The sequence below is a fragment of the Homo sapiens genome, chromosome 1 (genome assembly GCF_000001405.40).
Source record: "Homo sapiens chromosome 1, GRCh38.p14 Primary Assembly".
Lineage (NCBI taxonomy): Eukaryota > Metazoa > Chordata > Mammalia > Primates > Hominidae > Homo > Homo sapiens.
The window spans coordinates 208,310,522-208,335,818 of record NC_000001.11 but is presented as its reverse complement, the minus strand read 5'-3'; the positions used below and the strand labels follow the sequence as shown (position 1 = coordinate 208,335,818).

Below are 25,297 nucleotides of genomic sequence, written 5' to 3'. Positions count from 1 at the left end.
GGGAAACCAAGGCAGAAAGAGTAATTGAGCCAGGGGCCCTGAGGACTGGTGCATTCTGGTTCTCATCCCACCCAAGCCTGCCAATGTCTCTTCTCCATGGAGCAGAAGAATGGATGGTCTCTTTCTCTCTCCCCCTGTAAGTAAATCAGACCGGCCCCACTTCAGTAAAAACAACATTTGTTTAGGGAGAAAAGGGGAACTCACCGTGTGGTGCGGCCTTCCCTTTGAGCTGCCCTGACAGAAACAACACCGGGCCCATGTGTGCCTGCGGCTTTCTTTTGTAGTAGGCGCCATTCATCATTGCCTGCCTTTCGGGGCAGCTAAGCGGAAGGCTGGAAAGGGAAAGGAAAAAAAAAATGACACAAGCTTCCAAAAACACAGTGGTGATTTTTCTCTTTTCTTTTTTATTTTAAAGTCCAAAATGTAAAGTGCAGGGCTCAGTTAATCAGAGGGCTAATGCTTTCCATTTCAAAGCTCCTTTAATCTGAAGAGACATTTCACAAATATCTCTTCTCCAGGCATCCCCTCTCCCATCCCATTAATAATATAATAATGCTGCCTTAAATTGAAAGAGTAGAAGTAGATTGGAGTGGTGTGTGCAAATTCACTCATCCATCCTCCCAGGTCTGAATTCAGACCTGCCACCCCAGTGATCTGCAAATAACAAATAAGACCTCCACTTTTTGAAATGTACTCTGTGGAGCCACTTTGCTTTTAGGAAACCTAACATATGAAGCACTTAGCAAACAGGCAAATCTCCTTCATTACGAAAGGTTTGGGGGAAAAGGGACCTGCTAATGGAAGCCTATACTGGGGGTTGGGGAGCCTGGGTTCAACTTCACTCATGGCTCATTAATGCATGAGCATATTTATTCTACTGTAAACAAGTAGCCCCTCTGCTAAGGGTTGAGATTAACAGGTGAACAAAACACAATCTCCTTCGAGCATTCCAGGCCTGGCTCTGCCACTGATGAGCTATGTCCTTGAGTTAGTTGCTCAAGCAATGTGGGTCTCAGATCTCCCTTTTGAAAAAAAAAATTAATAGCTGGCTTCCCTCTAGATTGCAGTGAGAAGGTAGTAAACCGGTGCATTTAAGTGTTTCTTTACAGATCATTAACTACTATGGGGAATGGAGGGTCATAGGAATAATAGAATTTTTGAGCTAGCAGGAACCAAAGAAATCAACTATTCCAACCTTTTCATATAAGAAGAGAGTCTTAGAACTAAAATGTCAGGAGCCTGTGTCTGTAGAAAAGCCATCAGAAATGAAAACAAAACGTCTTTGAAATAATAATATAAGACATACGGTGACATTAGACGATGTCTACCAATTCTCAGGGCTGGGTGGGGAGCTGGTGCACAGGAATAGCCGTCAGGAAACTCAGGTTCTAGTCCTGCATTTTTCACTAACCAGCTAAGTCCATGGATGAATGATTTAAGTCCAGTTCTGTTGGTCATCTGTAAAATAAGAATCATGGAGGGTAAAAACAGTGCAATAGGAAGACTTTGGAGTTATATAATTTTTGAGGTCTGTCTCCACCACATCTTAGCTGTGCAATCTGGAGTAAATTAACTAAAAGTGACTCTCTGAGCCTCAGCTTCCACATCTGTAAATTGGGCATAACTCCACCTCCCTAATGAGGTTGTTAAAATTAAATATGGCAAAGCATATAAGTACTTTGAACATGGTGAGTACTTTTAATAAATGTTAATTCCTCTTCTTCCTAGATAACCTCTACTAGCATTAAAATTCTATGACTATGAAATGTCTCCTTAAAATGTGAGCTCATATATGAATACTGACTTTACTGCCTTCTCACCTAACAAGGTAGAAAGGAGCTAGACACTTTCTCTAATAGCAGATGGAATGGAGATCCAGAAGTGTGACAACTCTCTCAAGGTCACAGACATGAGTCACAGAAATGGGCATTAAGCAAATATCTTTGCTTCTAGCCTGGAGGTATTTCTCAAAGCAGCCATCTGTGGCTAAGAGAGGCAAGCTCCTCACTATCTATCAGCCGCATCACCATGAACTCAAATGGTTTAAAAGAACAGTAAAAAGGAGACGAAAAAACTCATAGTATGGAGTTCTGACTTTACCACTGATACTTCATTTAACTTCAATAACCCCATAGGGTAGTACATATCCCCATTTTATAGATGAGAAAATAGAGGAACAAAGGGGTGAAGAAAGTTGCCCAGTGTTCCTAAGACTGCTGAGCAATGTAGCCAGAATTCATCAAGGTATAAGGCAAGTCCTGTCTGCTCACATCACACAGCCTTGGGGTCATCACCATGGTGTATACATGCTGAGTAAATCTTTACTGTCAACAGATCTCTGTGCCACCAAAAAGGACTCAATCCCTAAAGCCATGCAAGGAACTCTTTCTTCTACATCACAATCTCATTTATAATCTTTGATATGAAGCCCCGAAAGAGTATTTTCCAGCCTGAAATGTAAATGTAGCTTTTCCTACACACTTCCTCAGAGTCAAAGAGAAAGACCAAAGGGACCTAGAGTTTCTAGGGAGAGTAGTCAACATCTCTGACCATCCCTAGGTAGACAGAACTGCTGATTTCACAGGCATCAAAGAGTCCCAGGACAAGAGAACATGTGGCATGCTTTAAGGCTAAAGCCAGCAGCTGACAATAAATGAAAAAAGACTTTTCGAACAGAATGAATGTAAATGAGAAAAGAAGCCCCTGGTTAGGGAAGTTATTCTAGCAAGTGGCTATATAAATGTCTTTATATTGTTATTTCCAATATTAGTTTGTTGTTCCTCCATGAAAGCTGATTTATTTGAAATGTTATTACTAGAAACACCCTAATCTTTTGGTAATAATTCATATACTGGAAGATTACAGTTTTGGAAGGCAGCCCAGTGCTGTCTGGAATCCTATTTATGGATTAAAGGATTTGAACAGCATTGCAAGCAAGATCTCTAAAGAGTAGGATAATGTAAACCTGGTTCCATATAAAATGCTTTACCCCAGCTATAGTAACCCCATTAAAGTCAGATTGTTAGACGACACTGGGCATGATGACTTTCATTACACTAAACTGGGATATCACTGCCCCTGAAGAGCAAGGATTTTTCAAGCCCAGTTGCCCCTGATTTTGACAGACTATGCTTAACTTTGTGTTTTCCCTTTCTCCTAGGACATGCCAGCCTTACATAATAGGTCTTGATTTTCGAAAGGCTATGTTCAGGTGAAAGAAGGAAAAAATTACTTGTCATAGCAAAGGCAACAGCAAAGCTCATGGGGTTCATTGACAGAGGAAGGATGACACGTACCCAGTGCTTTTTGTTCTCAGAAAGCTTCGGGTTAAGACGGATCCCTGCTCTGCCAAAAGTGCCCCTTTATAGAGCAATCTAGGCCATGACACTGGGAAAAAGCAGAGAAGACTAAATGAATTTGGCAAGAGAGGGCAAAGGTCACTATTGACCATAATAAGGGCAAAGCACTAACGAGATCCAGGATGACCTACAGAAACAAAAGAGCCCTAACGTGCTCTTTTCTTTGAGAGCTCTTGGGGACAAGTAGTGGAAAGGTGATGCATGTTAGATTCAGATCACCTGGTTGCACTATTTATTGGCTGTGTTGCCATGGGCTGGTCACTTAACCTCTGTGAACCTGAGTTTCCTCATCTTTAAAGAGATAAAGTCTACTTGAAAGGCTGTTATGAGTATTTAATGAGATCATAGATGACAAATGTCCAACACAGAGATGGTGGTCAAGGAATGGCCATGAGTATTATCAAACAACTGGCACATTACACAAAGATGGCCACCAGTTGCTAAATCAAAGGCTCTTAATTTTGTACTTCACTTTTCTGTCACACACTCCTGTAAGGTGCTGAACCAAAACTGCCATTAGAACTAGCTGGGCTCAATAGAAGAGTAGAGACAGCGGGAGGGAAGCAGCAGGGGGAAAGAACAGACCAATGTCACCTTCTCCTTCAGCAGAACCACTGCCTATTAAGACAGAGTCATCAAGCACCTCATGAACATCATCTGCCACATAAATAATGGATAATAATTCTAATTATACCACCACCTAAAACTTGACTTAGGAAGTCTTTATTTTTTTTTTCTCCAACTTATTCCAGTCACCTCAACCAGATCCTATTTTATTTTATGATTTCCACCCTCTGTTCAATGACTCAGGTCTGGGTTCTGACACAGACACTGTATAGAGGGGAAGATTTCCTTTCAGGCCCAGTGGGAAAAAGGGAACCATCCCAGGGCAACTGGGGGCTGTAGACCAGCAGAGAGCTGTATTTTGTAAAAGGTTAGACTTTGGACTGCCTGTGTGAGAATCATTTGGAACAGCAGGACAGGGGAGGGGGGTGGTCCTTATTTAAAATCCAGGTTTCTGGATTCTACCCCAGATCAATTAAATCAGTATAACTAAGAATGAGACTTGGGAATCTGCACTCTCAACAAGCTTCCCAGTGGAACTTTATGTACACTAGACATTGAGAATGGCTCATCCAGGGATTCCTAAGGAAGAAGAAGCCAATGAATATCAATGTCATTCAGGACTTCCAGGGAGTACGATGATAAAGCACATTGTATTGTATTCTACCGATTACAAAACACATCCACAAACATTATCTCATACTAAACAGTGTGCACACAAACAAGATAAATATGTCCGTACTGTAAATTATTTATATTGATAAACAATACAGTTCACTTCATGGACTCAGCACTATCAAAGAAAGACTGTTCTACATAAATAAATTTGCCAAGGAAAAAAATGGGGATTTAACTTCTTGAATGCCAAGCATTTGAAACAATTCATCATATCATATTTTTTAATTAACTTAAACAGCCCCCTGCCTTAATAAACCAAATATCCCAAACAGAATTTAACATTATATTGACTTAGGGTCACCACTAGTAGCGTCTTCTTGTGCACGGAGCTGTAAAAGCAATGATGTTCAGTGAGATACAGAAGGTGTTAGTTATATAAAACACTGTTTTTCTAACATCTTATGGCCCCAGTCTTGAAGCATTTAGCTTGTCATTTGTAGTTTTTCTGACTCTTCTTTGATGGACTAGCCAGTGTCACTTTCCACCACTGAGAGGAAAAGCACTCCCTCCCCATCCTTTTGAATTGACTACTTATATTCCAAGGTAGAAGAAAATTGAGAAAGTATTATCATCTTAAGTACAATGAGAGGAAATTAACTCTGAGGTTTTATGAATAGATAATCCTTAGAGTAATATTCAAGAGGTTGAGTATGAGTTGTATGGACTGCATTTTATCTGCTTATAGGTCTTTTTACTTACTTTGGTTCCAGCTGTGTTCAGGAAGTTGAAGCGCGTGTCTATCTGACTTCTGGCTAAGAGAATTTAATGATTGCATAGCCCTGAGGCTCTCAGAGCTGAGTGCCTGTTTACCAAGAAGATCTCGACCAAGGACCTGGAGTCACTTGTGTACTTGCCACCATAGCATAAAGGGAAGAAAAATGGGAAAGCAGGATCACTCAGAGAGAGAAGATTTAATATTGCTGGATGAATTAGTAAGAATTATTTCTGTTACGACTGTTAGATAAACACCTGAGATGAGTTTAAGAACCGGGAGAGATTTCTTAGCTCACAAAACTGTCAGGTTTCTCTCTTTCCATAGCTCTTGTTTCTGCTGCTGTGTATGTTGACAGCACCCACTTCTACTGCAGATGGACTTTCTTCATGCCGCAGGAAGCCTGCCTGCATTCAAGGCTGGTGAGGCAGGAGCAGTTCCCCAAAGGAAGTGGTGTACATGGTGGCGAAGCAATGGTTCAAGCTCCAACTGATAAGAGTGTCAGGAACAAATCAGGTAAGGATGAAGAACCATGTCTCCCCACCCACAGAGGTTAGCTCAGGGCAGCAGGAGCAGCAGGGAAATATATATATATATATATATATATATATATATATATATATATATACATACACATACACACACACACGCACACGCACACATATATATGTAATCACACACAAACACATACACATATGTACATATATCTATGTTAATATCATATCATGGCCACCTTTCCCTGTGGAATCCCCACCCGGAGGATTTAGTGAGGAGAAAACTCGATTTCAGTGGCTCTGCATCAGTCGAGGAAGACTAGATTATGTTGTGGTAACCAATAACCTGCAAATCTTAGTGACTTAACATAATGAAGCTCCATCTCACAACCCTAGTGCATGGCAGTACAAGACGGTAGGTGAATAAATGCCTGACCTATGTCAATGTAGGCTAATTGCACCCAATTAAGCTAGTCCCTTCCTCCCTTCCTGTTCGTCATTGCTTGCTCATCATTGTCCTCACTCTGGGACCAAGCTGATGGAGCAGCTGCTTTCTGAGAGTGGTGAATCACATCTCTGCTCTAGGAGCATCTGTCTGAAAGTGGCCCTTTTGCTTCTATTTAGGCAAGTAAATGAAGTCCTATCATGCATCTGGAAAATATTTAATGGACAATGCTAATGACTACCAAAGACTCTGGGGATGTCCCAGTATCAGAGGTAACGGGAATTGAGAGAGGAAATAATGGAACCCTACTAGACTCTACCTAAGGAATGTAGCATTTGGGGCTCATTTCTACTCCTCTATCCCTTATCTTCACTGCTTTGCGCCAACTCCACTGGAAGCAAATGTGACAGAGAACAGGACTATCTTGGCCATGATATGATATTAACATAGATATATGTGTACGTATATATATATATGTATGTTTGTGTGTCTGTATATCTATACATAATATATGTAGCAGATATGTGTATGTGCATAATACATACATAACATATATTATGTTCTTCTATGGAGCCCAGCTAGTTCTAAGGGCACTTTTGGTTCAGCATCTTGCAGGAGTGTGTGACAGGAAAGTGAAGTACAAAATTAAGAGTCTTTGATTTAGAAGCTGGTAACCATCTTTCTGTATTGTGCCAGTTGTTTGATAATACTCATGGCCATGTATAATAAATACATATATATTTATTTATATATATATTCCCCTGTGGAATCCCCATGTACATATGTGTGTGCATGTGTGTGTGTGTGTGTGTGTGTGTGTGTGTGTGTGTGTATGATGATAAGAGAAGAAAAATCTAGGAGGAGGCAGTGAAAGGGCTCTAACTCTGACCAGGGTTACCTGGAAGAAATATCAGGGATGACATTCATCCAAAAAATGATCCATTGATAAGCCCGGTGTAACACCATATGTAGGACTGAAAAACAACAACAACAACAACAACAACAACAAAAAACCTTCCAAACCATAAGAGAGAGAAGAGAAATAAAGAGGGGTAGGAGGAAGGAGGAAAGGAAGAAAAGAAGAATGGAAGAAGGAAGGAAGCAAGGGAGGGAGGAACTTAATTGGGTGCAATTAGTCTATATTGACATAGGTCAGGCATTTATTCACCCAGTATTTGCTAATCTTCTAGTCTATTGATCAAGTACCCAAGTTAGAAAGATGACTAAGACACAGTCTTTACCTCAAGAACTTAATGTCTGTAGACAAAAAGGCAAGCAAACAGAAAACATAAACAAAGGGAGGTACTGCTCTGTCAGAAACAAACCCGAAGGTTGTTGGGCACCCCCAGAATGGATACCTAGCTCTAACCTAATCCATAGCAGTTAACTATAAATGGCCTCAAGATAAAGGAAATCTCTCAGGTGAATCCTAAAGGGTGAATAGAAGTTAACCAAAAAAGACTAGATGATTTCAGAGAGAATATTCCAAAAAGGTGGGAGTGCATGTGAAAGGAATCCCTGGTGAGGGATGGGTGCTCTCAGTAGCATATAATTCCAATGGGGATGATGGTAAAATGTGAGATCGGGACCCATAAAGGGTCTTTTGCGGCTTGCTAAGAACTTAGATTTTATCCTAAGATAAATGAAGAGAATTTTAAGCAAGAAACGGAAATGATCAGATTCACATTTTGGAACAGTTGTTGTGCCTAAATTATAGAGGATGAACTGAAGAAGTGCAAGACTGGAGGCAGGGGTGGGAAACAGCCAGGGGGCTCTTTTAGTCATCCAGGCAAATATATGTATATATATTGAAAGCATGAATTGAATCTGTGGCAGCAGAAAGAGAGATGGGTATCAAAAAAATCCCATCCCAATTAGTTACTTGGGGAAGCAGGTACTTGGAAAGGGAGATAAATGGGATCTGGAGTTATTTGGACCAGGGTAGAGACCATTTCATTGATTTTCTCCCTTGGGACTTGACCCTAAAAAAAGTTTGCTGACAGCCATGACACTAAGAGGATAAAGTAGATTGGGGTGATCACATCCCCTATACTCTGTCAACCTCATTCACCTAGAAGTCATCAACTACATGGTTTTGAAGAAGCAAATTTAACATTGCAAGAGGCACCTCTAATAAATAACAGGGGTAAATAACTTACCTGGTTAAAAAAAAAATCCAAAAGAATCAGGTAGGCTATACCCCAGGTGGACTTAGATGCCAAGAGGGTAAGGCATTTAGGGGGATCTTCCTCTCCATCCCCACAGAACTCACCAATAGCTTCAGAGAGCTCAGTTTTTGGGTCTATAGGTCAATAGAAAACAATGTGCAAATAGTTATTGCACCATTTCACAAATCACAGCTCGTAAATGATTGTTTTCACCTTAATGTACTAAAAAGATTACCAGTCTTCCAGCAGTGCAGTCTTTTGGAGACATCTTGAACTAAGCCCATCAATGAGAGAATAGTGTCAAGGAGGAAGAGTCTACACATCTGGTGGCCATGGTCACTGCAGGAAATGCCCAAGACTCATCAAAAATAAGATGACTAGATCTGTTGTCCTTCCTCCAAGATTAAAAAGGTGACTCAGAGGTAGTTTGAGATAACAAATCTACCCAAATCAACCAAACTTATTATAATAGACAGGAGGAGAAAGGATAGAAGGTGGACTGTTGGAAAATGGGGCAAGGGGGAAATTCAAGGAAACTGTTCATCTGAATATAGGGCCCTTGTTTTCAATTCATCATCTTTTTTGGGGGGGTTGCGGGGGCGGGCACAACACCAAAGAGTCAGGTATAGGAAAGGCCATCAAATCTAACAAAGTATATAGTCTCAATATCCTTTTTTTCTACTTTGCCAATCTTGCATTTTGTATTTCAGAAACAAGCCTATGCTGCTCTAGGAAGAGTCCCTCTGCATTGTGAATAATTCACAGAGCCTGCTAACATCCTCAGTGCCTTGCTAGCTCAAGGGCTGAATGGAGAGTGCAGGACTCTGAGACTGGAATATGAGTTTCTGACAGTACCCAAGAACTTACAGTCAGCCACGTCACACTGAAACCACTCCTTCTTCCCCACCATGATAAGGCATAACTTCTCAGCTGCACCATTTTCTCTTCTTATGAGGATGGTGGGCAGGCCAGGGTGTAAGAATGGCAACTACAAGCCTGCCAACACAGTCTTCCAATCAGGGGCAAGCCTTTCATCTCATCAGCACCTGTTTTGGGGAAAACAGCTGAAAGTACCTGGTGTCTTGTTCTGTGTGGATGTTCAACATACTCCTCTGCATTGGCTAAGGTGTTGCATTTTGCCTTTGTCCTGTGCTTGGCATGTTGCCAAAGAATGGGAGGGCCTCAAGATGTGGCGTGCAGGAAGGATTGCTCAACTGGATATTTTGATGTGGTCTCATGGACAGAAGGGTTTGAATCCCTGATAAGGATTGATTTGAAATCCTTTTCTGACAGTCCCCTCTGCTTCCACCACTAGTTTAAGTATATCCTCCTTCAGTTCTCTGTGATGTCTGAATTTCCACCATGGTAGTATCATTCTTTGAATAATGATTTTGCTTTCCCATAGTCTGCTATTGAAATGTAAGCCAGCCTGGGAGGGAGTAATGCCTCAGGCTTTGATCAACCATTAGCCTCTCAGGTATCATCTTTGGAACAGGACAGAAAAAGTTAGCATTGTTTTAGTACTGGGTGCCCAGGTGAGAAAAGGCAGGATAGGATGGGGTCATTTTATGATGGAAAAAGAGCGTAAATCAGGAGAGTAAACAACTCCTATATCCCTCACTTATCCACTTGTTCAAGGCCAGACTTAACTGGGGGCTCAGCCTCCATTAGATTTTAGGTGCTAGAGAAATTTCTAGAGAAATTTAAGGCAAAGGTTCACTCTCAAGTACAATTGAACCCCATTTCTTTCCAGAAAAGTGGAATGCAAATTGATGTTTTTATACCAGTGTATCAATGTAAGGATATCTCTATTTTTTCCAAGGACCATATCAGCAATTCTGTCAAACTTTCAGTAAACATTAGTTTGCTGGCACTTTAATTTATCTTCTCTGTCTGCACATCTACCTAATCCCAACAGAGGGAAAAGAAAAAACAAAAAAGCTTTTCTGTCTATTCATTAATGATGTATACACAGTCACTTAAGAGAACTAAGGAAGATATTCTTCAAGGAAGCATGATTTTAGGTTTTTGTTTTTATTGTAAAACAAATAACTGCCTCCAAGTGTGTATGCCATTTAAGAGATTTTCTATATTGGGGTTTCCAGTATCCTTCTTAGAGAAACAATGTCTCAGTAGAATATCACATTTTTTACTGGACTTAAGGAAATAGCTTTAATTTAGAGGGGGATGTGGAGGAAGAGTTTCTCAGAAGGAAGGCTGCTAAACTGTGGAACAAGACACCAAGAACTATTACAGGAGCTCATTTGGCAGAGTTCCTGCTAAAATGGGACTATCAAGGTTAAAGTCCTGTCGTAAGAGAGGGGGGCACTCGCACAGATGACCCCAGGAACTCATTTTCAACATTCAAGTGCCATAATCCTAAATCCTGATGCTTTCCCTTTGGGTCCTTAGACAAAGCAAGAAAGTGGAGGCCAGGCACGGTGGCTCACACCTGTAATCCCAATACTTTGGGAGGCTGAGGTTGGCGGATCACCTGAGGGCAGGAGTTTGAGACCGGCCTGGCTAACATGGTGAAACCCCATTTCTACAAAAATACAAAAAATTAGCTGGGTATGGTGGCGTGCACCTGTAATCCCAGCTACTTGGGAGGCTGAGGCAAGAGAATCACTTGAACCCAGGAGGCGGAGGTTGCAGTGAGCCGAGGTAGCGCCATTGCACTCCAGCTTGGGCAACAAGAGTGAAACTCTGTCTCAAAAAAAAAAAGAAAAATGGAGAACACTTTGTCCATCCTGTGCTCATTACGTGCTGAGAAATCTAATGAGATAAAAGCTCAGATTTGCATAAGAAGTAAATCAGAAGACTGTGGCTCCACAAATTCTGAACAGAGCCTATCTTGATAAATAAAATGTGACATTCATAACAAACAAACCAAAAAGCAGATAAAGAAGGAGAGCCCTCAGCATTAATGCTGGAAAACCTTTGGCGATAAATAAGTAATATTATAATAAAAGATATTATAATGCGTTGTCATTTGCAGGGAGAAATGTAATATAGTCTGAAGAGGAAGATAGATAGCTCAAGTTGTTTTTCTGACAGTGGAAGTAATAGCTATTGAATGTTATGTTTAGCATATCATAAAATCAGTGTTAGCAGGCAAGACAGCCCTCAAGCCGTCCTGAAGTCCACATTCAGCCTTTTGACATCAGCAAGAAAAAAGCCTGGAATGCAGTTCGACCGGGATGGATGGTCTCAATTCAAACCAAATTGGAAGAGACAGAGTTTCCCTCGGCCGGCAGGCCCTCAGCCTGAAGTGGAAATGAACTTGGGGGTGACTGGAATATGTCTTTCTTCAGTCTTCTCTGTACTTGCCATCCCGCAAGAGGCTCCTGACAATTGTAGGAGCAAAGCTGTAAAGCTCGAATTCCTGCAGCACTGGAAACTTTGCTGAGGATGATGAAATCAGTTCTCTCCATATACTGAGGAACCATTAGCCAATTCCAGTTTCCTGCAGAGGTGCTGAAAATCCTTCTTCATCTACACATGGCTCTGTCATATTGCCTGAAATGCTTCCATTTTTATTATGTAAGTTGCATCTCATCCACCTGAGGGAGAAGAGAGAGCCACATGTATCCACGAGATGATGGAGCCTGACCTCCTCACATTCGACGAGCTGTTCAGCCTTGCTCATTTTAGGGGCAGGAATGCCAGTAGGCAAAAATAATTCAGCTAAGCACCCACACAGGAAGGGGTCTTCACTTGTGCCAAATGTATACAAAAAGAACATTATTTTATTTATTTTGTTTTTAGTGTATTATTTGCCCAGAGAGCTCACTGATAACACATCCTGGGTAAAATGCCGTTTTCAGGATTACCAAAAAAATTTAAATAATGCACTAAGAGAAGTTTACCTGCATGCAATTGAATTTCTTCATTCTGATGCAGTCTATGGGATGGATTTGAGAAGAGATTGGGAGGCTAGGCCTCAGCCTCTGCTTCCCAGAAGCCAGAATAGTAGAACTAGAATCTGAACACTGCTACTTCTGAGCTCCACAGGCTGTAAAGAATAGGGACCTGGGATGCTGTGGTGCAGCTGGGTTCAGAAGAATGGAGGGGGAAGACCAGAGGAAAAGACATCTGTCTTATTTCCTGAGAGAATTGGACTCACTAGGAATATTTCTTCCTTTCTATCTTATCTTCAAGATGAAAATTCCATCAGAAACCTCTAGTTCCTTCTCTCTACCACCACCATCAATCTCACAGAGGGAAACAAGGGTCCTTCACTCCCAAAGGATGCTAGGACCCACCAAGAAGAGCTCTGGGCAGAGTAGTTTGTCAGGGGGCCAGGTGAAGGCAGTGTGTGGGTGGGTACTTGGGGAAGCCTGCACCAACCAGTATAGGCAGGTTGACTACTCCTTTTCTTCCTTATGTTGTGGTTCATTAACCTTGTAGAGAGCAGAGACACACATTTATTGAAGATCCTCTATGCAGCAGGCTCTGTGCTAGGCATGCTGTGTACAGCCCATCCTCTGCTGTCAAGAGAATGAGAGACATATAATCTTGAAATCAAGAATAAGACCAGGTTCACAAAAGCAGCCAACTCAGCTCTGATGCCCATGGCCAATTTCCATTCAACTTAAACAGCATGCACGCGAAAGGCATCTTGGAATAACGATTAAGATCATGGGCTTTGAAAACCTAGGTACTTGACTTTGTGTCCTACTTTAACTACTTTCTAGTTCTGTGACCCTTGGCAAGTTATCTCAAGCTCTCTGAGCACTGGGTTTCAATATATTAAAAACAGACAATTATTGTTGCTACTTCATGGGACAATTTAACGAGCTCACGGATGTGAAGCACTTTGTGCAACATATAGTAAATGCTCAATAATGCTGGCTGAAAGAACGTTACAGAAGTGCCAGGCACTGGGCTTGAAGTTGGGATACCCAGATGGTTAATGCATTGCCTTCTAGGAGCTTAGAGTCTAATAGAGATGAATAACTGTAGCAAGATGGCAAAAACACATACCAAGCTGCCTGCTCAGTACAAATAACTTCCTTGGTTGAGTTTTTTTATGAAATAACTTCCTTGGTTGAGATTGTTTCTTGCAAGGGGATTTTTAAGACTGAGAGATTTTCCTCTTCCAAGTGTGTACAAATGAGATAACATTGTCTAATGAAAAGCCCCTGGATAGAGAAAGCAGGGACTACAATTCTAAAGCATTCTAGTTCCACCTAAGGCTAGGTGTGTGACTTGTGAAAATTAATGAGTTAATTAATTAAAATAGTTATTAAATACCTACTATGAGTCAGGCAGTATGACTGGTGCTGGAGATATAGTGGTCATAGCATAAATTGCTCCTGTTCACCAATAGCCATGTTCTCCTTTGCTCCCTAGACACACAACTGGACTACATTTACTGGCCTTCCTTGCAGTTTGCTGAGATTATGTGACTTAGGTTTTGGCCAATGGAATATGAACAAAAGTAAGGTTCTCCACTCTCAGGTCTGGTTCATGGAAACCTCCCACCAATGATCATTTTCTTGTTCCACAACTACCAGCTAAATTTGGAGCCCTTCAGAGAAGCAGAGGAAAATCTAGCCACAGATAAAGACTTGAGTGCTTGAATCCTGGGCCCACATTGGACTGTGATATGAATGAGAAACATTCTTATTGTGCTGTAACTGAGATTTGGAAGTTTATTTGTATTATTTACAAATAAATATCAATTAGTTAGTTTCCTTACCTAATAAAGCAGTGAACAAGACAGGCATCCCTGGCATTATGGAGCTGACAAGCTCTTAAAAATGAGTAATTAAATAAGTAATTGTAACATAATGAATGTTAGGGCAGTGAAAAGACAGAAATGGCAGCAGATAGCAGGATGACCTAAGCTAATTGGCGAGTTAAGGAAATCTTCTCAGAAAAGGTGCAGGTATGGTGAGACCTGAAATAAGGTGGATTGGTCCGATCAGGCTGCCATAACTAAGTGTCACACACTAAGTGGCTTAAACAAACTTATTCTCTCACAGTCCTGGAGGTGAAAAGTTCAAGATCAAGGTGTTTGTGGGGTTGGTTTCTTGTGAAGCATATCTCCTTAGCTTGAAGGTGGTCATCTTTGTTCAATGTCTTCCCTCTTTACATGTCTGTGCCCTAATCTCCTTTCCTTATGGGAACACCCATTATATTGGGTTAGGGTTTACCCCTATTATCTCATTTCACCAAAATTACCCCTTTAAAGTCCCTATATCCAAATACGGTCACATTTGGAGGTATTGGGGAGTAGGGTTTCAACATGTGAGTTTTAGGAGAACACAATTCAGCCATAACAGAGGAGTAAGACTTAGCCACTTACTAGAGTGAAGTAACTCCACTAGAGTGGAATTTTAGGGAAACACAATTCAGCCCATAACAGACGAGTAAGGGTTAGCTGGTCAAATAGATAAACTTCCTGACTATGAATACAGTGAGACCTTGGAGTGCAGGCTCCCTTTCTGCAGAACTGATTGACACCTTGTTACTTAAAGGGCAGACACTTAAAGGGTTAAGCTGACCTCAGGTTCTCTATCCAGTCCAACGATGCCAGCTGGCACAGGGAAGGCAGGAAGATAAGAAGGAAGCTCAAATTTCCAAGGGGCAAGGTGCTGAAGCTATTCAAGTAAGTATTCAGATTGCAGCCTGACAGTAGTGCTTTGATTACAGATTTGGAACTTGAGATATTATCAATCAAATTGTAGGAAGGTAGGAAGCAGCAGCATACCTTGACTCTCTGGAGATGAGACAAGATTGACTGCAGCTGTGGTTTGTGGACTTAGCATCTACATGCGGGCTGCTACGCTTGCTAAGAAATCCCAAAGGGGTTTTTAGAGGAAAGATTGGCTCCAGAAGTCAGATCACAAGAGCAATAGCTACCTGGCCATATGCAGGGATTGAAGATCAATGGGTGAAAGATCAATCTGAATAAATGAGCTATTAATACATACAACAGGTCCTCAGCAATTAATCTCCAGGTGGATGACAGCCCACCAGTTACAGTGATCTGCTGATGGTGATTGACGTAATGGGGTCGTCTGCCGTGCCAGGCTGCTGAGTTAGTGATATTCACATTTATTTTCTTGCTTGGATTGAATGGTTTCTGGGGCAATCTGGAATTTGGTGCTGAAAACGTACTGCTCAGAAGACCAAAATAGTTTATTCTCTAAGAGTAGGCAAAGCTGAGCAGATCCAGGACCAAGTCTGATTTACTGGAAAAAAGGAGAGCAGCCTTTCTTTTCTCCCAGATGATTAGACCTTTGTAATATAGAGCTTGGTAAAGGGATTTGGAGAGGTTGCATAGAAATCAGGAATGTCACCACACATTTTAGGGCTGCCATTGAAAATGAAAAGAACTGCATTTCTATGAGAGATATGCACTTTAGGTTATTTTCTTTTGTCTTGGTTCTTTCAGAAGAATACCATGAACTAACTTCTGCTTCCAAAATACATGACTCCACACTTTTGGTCTTCAAAACCTGGAATTTTGAATCTCTGTCTAGTGACTTCCTGCACATTCTTCAAAGCCCATCTCATCACATCATAGACTCCTCTAAAAGATCTTCCCCAGGTGCTTTGATCCTACCCCCAAAACACTGTGTATCCCAATCCATTGGCCATGCCACCCCCACCGTCTTAGTCCAAGTCACCATCGTCACTCACTTGCATGACTGCAGAGGCCTTCTGCCTAGTCTGCCTCTTACAGCCTTACCCTCTACAATCTAGTCTCCACACAGCAACCAGAATTAATTGTTTTCAATCTATATCTGTATATATTACTATGATTACTCTGAGTGAAGTTCAATCTAACACTGACCATGGCCTGAGCAGCCCCTGCTGAGCCTATACCTTCACCCCTTACCAAACACATCTGATTCCTGCTACACCAAAAAGAGGTCAGATTTATCCACGACATGTACATTTGCTGTCCTCCTTCCTTATCATCCTCTTCTCCCAGTCCCCACAGATCAGGTCTTCCTATTATTGTTTCCTCATCACTTAGGTCTCAGCTCCTCAAAGAGACCTCTCTACACCAACTCACCAAAAGTAATTCCTACTCCCCCCTCCTTAGGCACCACATTGCTCTGTTCATTGCCTTCACAGCACGCATCACTATCTGGAATTATAAATTTTTAAAGTTGTTTATTTTATGTTTTTCCCTACTCATATGTAAGCTCCATAAAAATAAAGATGTTTCCTCCGGGTTTATTTCTATTTCTCCAACATGTAGGAGAGTACCTGGCCCATAGCAAGTGTTCAAGTATTTCTTGAATGAATGAATGAATGGCATGGTCGATTATTGGCTCATCTAAATTTCCATAGTATTCTCTTCCCATCTTTGTTAAGACATTCAGAACATTGTAGAGTAGGGATTTGTCAAAATCTCTTGCTCTCTTTCTTGATTATGAGCTCCTTAAAGAAAAGGATGTGTGGTACGAGACAATACACGCTAAAGCAGAGAACACAATATTACCCATGGAGTTGGTACTTCTCAAACTTTAATGGGTGCACAAATCACCCAGGGGATCTTGTTAAAATGTAGTTTCTGATGCATAGTCTGAAGTGGGACCCAAGATTCTGCATTTCTAACAAGCTTCCAAATGATGCCAATGCTGCCAGTTCTTGGCATAGTTTCAGTAGGAAGGTATTCTTTTTTGAGTGGATGCTTTAAAGTATTGTGTTTTTTCCCTTTCTATTTTCTACAGAGCCCCATAGAGCACTTCTATGGTGAATGTAAAATATACATTGAATTAGTATATATTGCATGAATGCATACATGAATGAATGAGTCAAAAACCCTCACACTCAAGGAAATGAAACTGAGTCATACAGAGTTAAGTAACTTACCTAAAACCTCACGACTAGCTAAGTCTGGTCTAGAATCCTTGTCTAAGTGCTCATTAGTCAAGTCCTTCTCATTCCAGCTGTTTCCTAGGATTGAGGTTTAGATGTTTGAGGCATCAAGGATGAGTTGCTAAGTGCAGAGTAGCTTCCTACCCTGTAAGTGTCAAAGAAGGCTGGTGGGAGCACCCATAGGAGAAGGGGCCATTGCTTGGTGACTAACCAGCACATTAATACCCTGCAATCTGCCTGGGTTTACATGATCTGCCCTTATGGAGAAGTGTCATCTAAGGAACCTTTCCGTTTCAGGAAAACAGAAGTCATTTCTTCTTGGCAGAATCTGTCATGTTCACAGGACACATAAGCCCTAGTGCTGAAAAGGGCCAGCTAGGTTCTAACTGAGACCTGTGAGAGAAGATATATAGTTTTGTGGGGCTGGAGAAAAAATTATCATGACCAGAGATTTGAGGGTGAGGGGCAGAATCAAAGGGAAGAGGTCCCTGCTACATTCCTCCCAGAAGGCTTGGAAAGCAGGAACTGCGATGCAGGTTCAACCTCTGCTCCAAATTAGCACAGAATGTTTCCACCTGGGCAGATGGACCCTTAATTCAACCCATCTAAAAGCACTGAAGCCAGTTGGGGGTTCCCCATACAGAAGTACACACCACATGCTCCTACCAAGGGTTCTGCCTGAAAAGAACCCAATTCTGACTGGAAGGCAGCTAAGCACAAAGAATAGCCCAGGAGACAGATGTGCACAGTTGTTCATATTCCCCCAACAGCAACACAGGAATCAGCCTTAGGAAAAGAATATGGAACACAAAAGAAGCATATGTTTGCAAAACCCCAAACCAACTTGTAGACTTTTCCCAACTCTCTCCATCATCATTATTTCCATCCACATTTGTCCTTCCAATCAGTCATTTAGAGTGGTGTCCAGCCACGCTTACAGGGGCAGCTCAGGAACCAACCCTTCCTAGCCTGCCAAGAATTGTATTGTCTCCTGCTTCCACCACAAAATTGGAAAGAATCAAAGGATCAACATGAAGAGAAGGTTCGCCAGCTATTTTGCACCTTTGGTGTAAGCAGAGTGATAAGAGCTAGTTGTCCATGCTGCATTTCCGTCAAATAGATAAACTTCCTGACTGTGAATACAGTGAGACCTTGGAGTGCAGGCTCCCTTTCTGCAGAACTGATTGACCCCTTGTTACTTAAAATGTGGTCCAGAAACAGCAGCAGCTGCATCACTGGGAAAGGGCAGAAAAAGCAGGATCTTATCCCCCATCCCCAGGCCTCCCAAATCAGAAACTCCACATCAGCAAGATCCCCAGGTGATTCGTGAACTTGCTGAAATCCCAGACACTAGATCCTCCTCCAACTGGGATAATAACTACTATTCTGGCCAAGGACAAAGAGATGAGCTAATGAGGATTCAAGCTCCCTGGGATTTTCTCACTGAAATCCTTTTCTCCCCCACCCTGATTAGATGTCCCTCGCTGCACAGGAGCAGAACCTGCATTTATGCTTTATCCAAAGGACACAAATATTTAAATTCTTAGGCACAGACATCAGGTAAGTAAGATAAGCTCAAAATTTCCCCATGCATCAAAAATAAAACCAAGAATGGCTTCTTTCCTTTAAGGGAAGAGCAGAATCTATTGTGTCTTCCCCCTTGCTTTCTCACAAGCATCCCATTCAGCTCCATCTTCCCCATATTTTCCCTCTTCCCCTTTCTGCCCCTTTCCTCGACTCAGAAACGTTGCTGGCAAAGAACCCTGGCAAGTCATAGGAAGGAGTTTCCGTGCCTCTAAGAGTTTGGTTGAATGGTTCAGACCAGGAAGGAGTCCTCCCTGCCTCCAACTCTCCAGATGGCTTTCAGAAGCTGGTCCCTCCTTTCCATGTGTTCCCCCAATGTTGCCCTTTTTCTGCCGGAGGCTGCTCCAGAGCTCTGGGCTGTGTGTGAGTACATTCTCCTGTCATTGAGAGCACTTGCCCTCCCTAGCGCTCTGCTGCCTTTAACCCCTCTCTTTCCTGGCTGCACACCCCTTCCTCCTCTCCTTGGGGAATCAGAAATGGCAGATGTCAGCTTGGTGTCTGAGGCATCTTCACAGGTGAGTGCATATGCTCCAAGCTGGAAAGAATCTCATTGGCCACCCCTTCATGGACTGAAATTATACTCCATTAGGGGCTATGAGGTGTAGTGAGAACCAATCACACTGCCTGGAGTTCAAGTCCCAGCGCTGCCATTTAATATTTGCGTGGCCATGAGCAATCATTTGATGCAATTTGTTTTTATTCTTCAGCTGGGAATTAGAGATAATCATACCCACTTTCTAGGATGATAACTGGCACATAGCCTATCAGTTTTCCTGGGTTCTGCTCCTTGCCAAAACTCCTACTGGTTGACTGGGTGCTGGGTACCATTTTATTTTGTCAGCACTGGTTCTGAGTATGCAGGTGACGTACCTCACCCTTTGCTCCTCCACATCCATGGGCAGCCCTTGGTTCCAAAGACTAGTGGTCAGTGCACCTGCAGGCTCCTAGAAGCGGCTTGTCCTTGTCTACGTAAAATCATTCTGGAAATTTAAACCCTTCACTGATGAAAGAATTAACTATTGCCATTGTTAGAAGCTTTGGGACAGGAAGGACTCCCAGGAGACAAGGACACACAGCCATCTGCCCACAGCCAGGTTGCTCACTTAGGTGGCTCTATCTTTTGTTCAGTGTTTAGTGACTACTTGACACTTTCTTTGTTGCAAATAAAACCTGAAGAAATCAATTGCGATTGAATTAGTACTCTACGTTAAACTGAAATAATTATTGTGGTCTTTTAATCAGAGATTCATTTCAAAAAAAAATAAAAATTGTAAGAATAGTTATATAACAGTTTCTTTCCCCAGGGAGGCTTTGACTTGATGCTCTCAGGAGATGTGAACCCAACATAACAATTTTATTAGCTCTTATTAAAGCTTTGATACATGCACTTCAAAGAAGTGGTGGTTCTCCTTTTCATTTGAAGTTCAGAAATCTTTTCCTGCATTTGGGCTGTCTGGAGGGGCAGTTGCTTTCTGGAGGTCTCAGGGCTGAGATCTGGAACACATAGAACTTTCAGACAACCCCAATCCTCCCTAGAGCAGTTTATTTTCCTTTCCCCATCTGCTTCTACAGAGTTACAGGGAGTGAGGAAGCCGGGGGACAATGTGAACAGTGGCTATGGGAGTCAAGGCCAAGCACCATTTGGTGGTTAGGAAAGCTTAACCCAGGGAATGGGTTCAGAATCTCTGAGTTGGAAGCAAGTATGGAGATCTTCTGGTCTATCCACCCATTCTGTGCTAGAATCTTCTTACCAGCATCTTGATTCTCAGGTGGTCACCTAACCTCTGCTTTGAAGCCCACGAGTGATCAGGAGCCGGCTAACTCAAAAGTTGTCTTATCCACATATAGATACCTCTAACTATTGAAAAAATAATATTCTTTACATTGAGTCAGTATCTGCTTCCCTGTCACACCATTCATAAGTTCTGCCCTCTAGAACACAGTGGAATTATCCCATTCATCTTCTCCTTGAGATGCTTTCAAATGTCTAGGACAGTTGTTATTACTTCCCCAACTGTTCTTTTTCTAAATGCACTGTCGACTTTCTCAATCAATCTTCAGTTGACAAGATGTCCAAACACTTTTCAGAGTGGTCTTTGTTCTTCTATTTGTTAATATTTCTTGTAAACATGGAACCCAGAACTGACTACAGTGCTCTGATGATCTCCTCTCCAGCAGAGGACAGATTGCTCTGAAGATAAGATCCTCTTAATAGATATGGATGGATAGATAGATAGATAGAGTATATAACATTGTTATCTATTAAATTAAAATGTATATGTATTAAAATTAACATTTTTATCCATTAAAAGGAATGGCAAAAACCGCAATTACTTTTGCACCAACCTAATACCATGTTGGCCTGGTAGAGTCTATGGTCAGCTAAATCCACTCAGATATTTATGAAGTGAACTACCCTCAGACCAATTCTTTCTCATCCTCTTTTTGTGAAATCAAGCTTTCTTTCAAACCTAAAACCAAGATTCTGCGTTTATCCTTGTTAAATTTATCTTGTTAGTTTCAATCCATCTTTCCAGATAGCAAGCTCTTTTAAAACTTGTTTATATCATTTGTCACATTAGCTGACCTCTGCTTTGTGTCATCACAAATTCGATAAGCAGATGGTCAATGTTTCATTCAAGTCATTGATAAATACTTGGAACACGACAGGGATAGGAAAAACAAAAACCTATAAGTTGATACTAAACAATTTCCTCTTTGTTGATAACATTCCAGAGATCGACTGTCTTTGAATGGCATTGTCCTAATAGCTGCAAATACATATACACAGCCTGTATTTTCTAGGTCATTCTGGAGGCTATTGGGGAAATGTTTTCATAGGACTTACACTATTGCCATTCTCTATGTCTACACTACCTGCCCTACCATCACCACCCTCCTTCTGCCAGTCTAGTAAAGATGTCAAAAAAGGAACTGAGGTGGCTGGGCGTGGTGGCTCATGCCTGTAATCCCAGCACTTTGGGAGGCCAAGGTGGGTGGATCATGAAGTCAGGAGTTCGAGACCAGCCTGGCCATAGTGAAACTCCGTCTCTACTAAAAACACAAAAAATTAGCCAGCCGTGGTGGCATGCATGGTAACATGTGCCTGTAATCCCAGTTACTCAGGAGGCTGAGGCGGGAGAATTGCTTGAACCCGGGAGGCGGAGTTTGCAGTGAGCTGAGATCACACCACTGCACTCCAGACTGGGTGACAGAGCAAGATTCTGTCCCCAACCCCCCCCCAAAAAAGACTCTGTCCACCCCCCAAAAAAATAAGAACTGAGGTTAATTGGCATGTCTTGCTTTTAGAAAATCATGGATGCTTCTAGTGATCACCTCTTTCTTTTCTTACGTGTTCATCGACCAGCTTCTTAATAACATACTCCAGCATTTTTCCAAGAGTGTATATCAAGATCACAAATCTATAGTTTTTATAATTCCCCCTTTGTGAAACTGAGGACAGCATTTGCTTATTAGTCTTCCTTATGAATTCCGAGGATAGTATAAAGATTGCCCAAGAACATATAATAATGCATTAAATTCAGAGTCCAAATAATTGATAAATACGCATTTTTAAAACTTATTCCTTAGCCAAAGAGAGAAGCAGAGCCTAAGCCTCCAAGCATTCTTCTGAACACTTTAAGGATTTATGATCTGGGCCCGACTGGCTACTGGAAGACCTAGGATAAAGGTAGAATCCTGGCTGTATCTCCAACTAGCGATTCCTTTCCCTAGCCTCACTGTTCTCATCTATAAAATCATGGAATCTATTCTAGTTCTAAGTTTTAATGACATAAGAGGTTAGTTGCTAAGTGTGACCAGACAGGTAGCTGGCTTTACCTACGAGGTCCGATTCCACCACCCCCACCATCACCCCTTTTTGGAGGATCTATACAGCTGTAAGATTTTCATTTATCTTCTGGGCACAAGCCTGCACACACACACACACACACACACACACACACACTAGCATAAGTTGTTTCATAAGTTGTTTCTCTTTCTGTTGCATCCAGTTGATGAGAATAAAGTCCATTGTTTTAATATTAAATCTATGTTATAATGAATCTTCTCTAGGAACAGCTTGTTTCAACATCATCTGTCAAGAATGTATTACTAATGCCTTTTAAGACTTTCTTTTTAATATGTTACTAGAGAACATCACTGGACCTAGATAATATTTATTAAATATTAGGAACATTGTCAAATAACTTCACAAGAAAGTAAGGTTTGAGGGGTTTGTGTATATTAACATATATGTATATTTTTAAGAAGAATAATAAAACCCAATGTGAACAGAAATAGCTTGTGATATTCTGTCAAATCCAACACACCCTATTTATGTTTCCTGAGACATTCCAGGGCATATCTGTTTATCCAACCAGGACTGCAATAAGCAAAACAGAAGAAAGCTAGAAAGCCTTGAGAAAGAAGACAAAGCAGACCGTTCCTCATTTTCTGACATAGAGAAAGTGAAAATAAACATATAGCACCAAAAATGCAATGTAATTGTCTAGTTTTTGGCAATTTTTACTTTAACGTAATCCCAGGCTCATACTTAATCAACCTGTGGCTGAAAGATCCTTCAGATTTAATAAGGGATGTCTCAGGACTTCCCTCACCTCATGTCTGAGACCTTCAGCAGCATATTTTGGGGTGCTCTGAGAGGATCATTATTAAGTTCATTAAACCTCAGATCTGACCCAGACTGACAAGGTCTCTTCTGATCTTCTAAAGTATTCATACATGAGACCTGGTTTCTAGTGACAGGCCCACCGACTTTTCCTGCTATAACTTCAGACCTGGCACAACGTACAGCTGACTTTTGTGGGTTGAAGAACCTCACACATCTATAGTCCTATCACACACACATTTATGTATGTGTGTGATACACATACACACACATAAACAGCACTACCAAAAGGCTGCTGTCAAAGAGAAGATTAACAGAGAGGCTATAGAATTTAACCCAAAGGGTTAGGAAGACCTGCCTCTATCACATTACAACATTTCAACCTGTATATACCTAACCAAAATTTAGACATACCCTCTTGATGGGACTTAATTCCTAAGCATTTTAATTTGAAAAAACTGTGACGTAAATGCACAGTAGATTTTATAGGGGTCCTGCATCCCCTCACCATGGCTCCAGAGACCTTTGATAAATACCTGAGGAATATTTAATATGCAAAACACTTCATTATACTGAAAGCCAATATGATGGAGGGTTGGGGTATGTATGCTCTGAAACAAAGCCCCTTGGATTTAAATACTATCACAGCCACTTTCAAGCATCTCTGTACATCTGTTTTCTCTGCCATGAAACAGGGCTACTAATAGTACTATTATAGAGACCAAATGAGTCAGTCTCCATAAAGGATAGGGAATGATGCTTGCTTAATAGTGAGTATTCAAAAAATGTAAAATTATTTTTATTGTTATTTTGGAGATGGAGTCTTGCTTGCTCTGTCACCCAGGCTGGAACACAATGGCGCAATCTCGGCTCACTGCAACCTCCGCCTCTCGGGTTCAAGCGATTCTCCTGCTTCAGCCTCCCAGATAGCTGGGATTACAGGCGTGCACCACGACCGCTGGCAAATTTTTGTATTTTCAGTAGAGACAGGGTTTCACCATATTGGACAGGCTGGTCTTGAACTCCTGACCTCGTGATCTGCCCACCTCGGCCTCCCAAAGTGCTAGGATTACATGCGTGAGCCACTGCCCCTGGCCCTTTTTATTCTTTTAACATGTATGTTAATACACACAAACCCTTAGTTTGTAGGATCTGGGCTGGTTGATCCTGCCCAAGCTGTGTTTTCTGTTGACACCGTGGCTAGCTTGACAATGCACTACCTTGTATTTGATTTTCTTCCTACCCTGTCTCAGTTCATTTTTACCTCAGTCGTGCTTTGCTGGGATTGCCCCTTCCATATACACACAGGAAAGCATTTGCAATAAGTTTTACCACAAGATCTATTTTCCACAGAAGCGATAAAGACTCTAGGATTACCAAGGCAGTAACCAGATAAACTGGCCAAGCATTATTATGCATTTGAATAGAAAACATTAATATCTGTGATTGAAATCTGAACAATTATCAAAGGCAATGAGCAGCAATTTGCCTTAGACTTGAAGGTTAAACTGGAGACCAGTCTAGAGGACAGGCTCCACCTCCAACCTCCTTGCCCCACAGCCCCAGTGAAAACTGCCAGAAGAAAGTTTAGTTCAAGATTAAGAACGCCTTCTCCCTGATGTAATCCCGGAGGTGCCAGGTAAGAGTGAGGCTGCTTTCAGGGAAGCCCCTGGGACCAGAGACAGAAGACTGCCCTGTGAACCGAGTCTGTACTGCAAGAAATAAGAAGCTCCATGAATTGGTGGCTTACTGAATCCGTAGAGATTACTCCTAGGTCATGGGATTCGAGGTCCACCAAGGAGTAAAATATAATACACGG

At 41.6% G+C, this 25,297-nt stretch overlaps 1 long non-coding RNA gene across 2 annotated transcripts in view; it reads right to left on the bottom strand.

Annotated features, from left to right (window-relative positions):
- Window positions 1-211: 211 nt before the first annotated feature.
- LOC105372889 (uncharacterized) overlaps window positions 212-25,297 on the bottom strand; it is an 82,866-nt gene continuing 57,780 nt past the window's right edge. For both annotated transcript variants that reach the window (XR_922508.2, XR_922509.2), the window contains exons 5-6: window positions 1,307-1,458; window positions 212-332 (exon numbers count right to left, since the gene is read on the bottom strand). This is a non-coding gene — a long non-coding RNA (uncharacterized LOC105372889). The remainder of the gene's footprint in view (window positions 333-1,306; window positions 1,459-25,297) is intronic.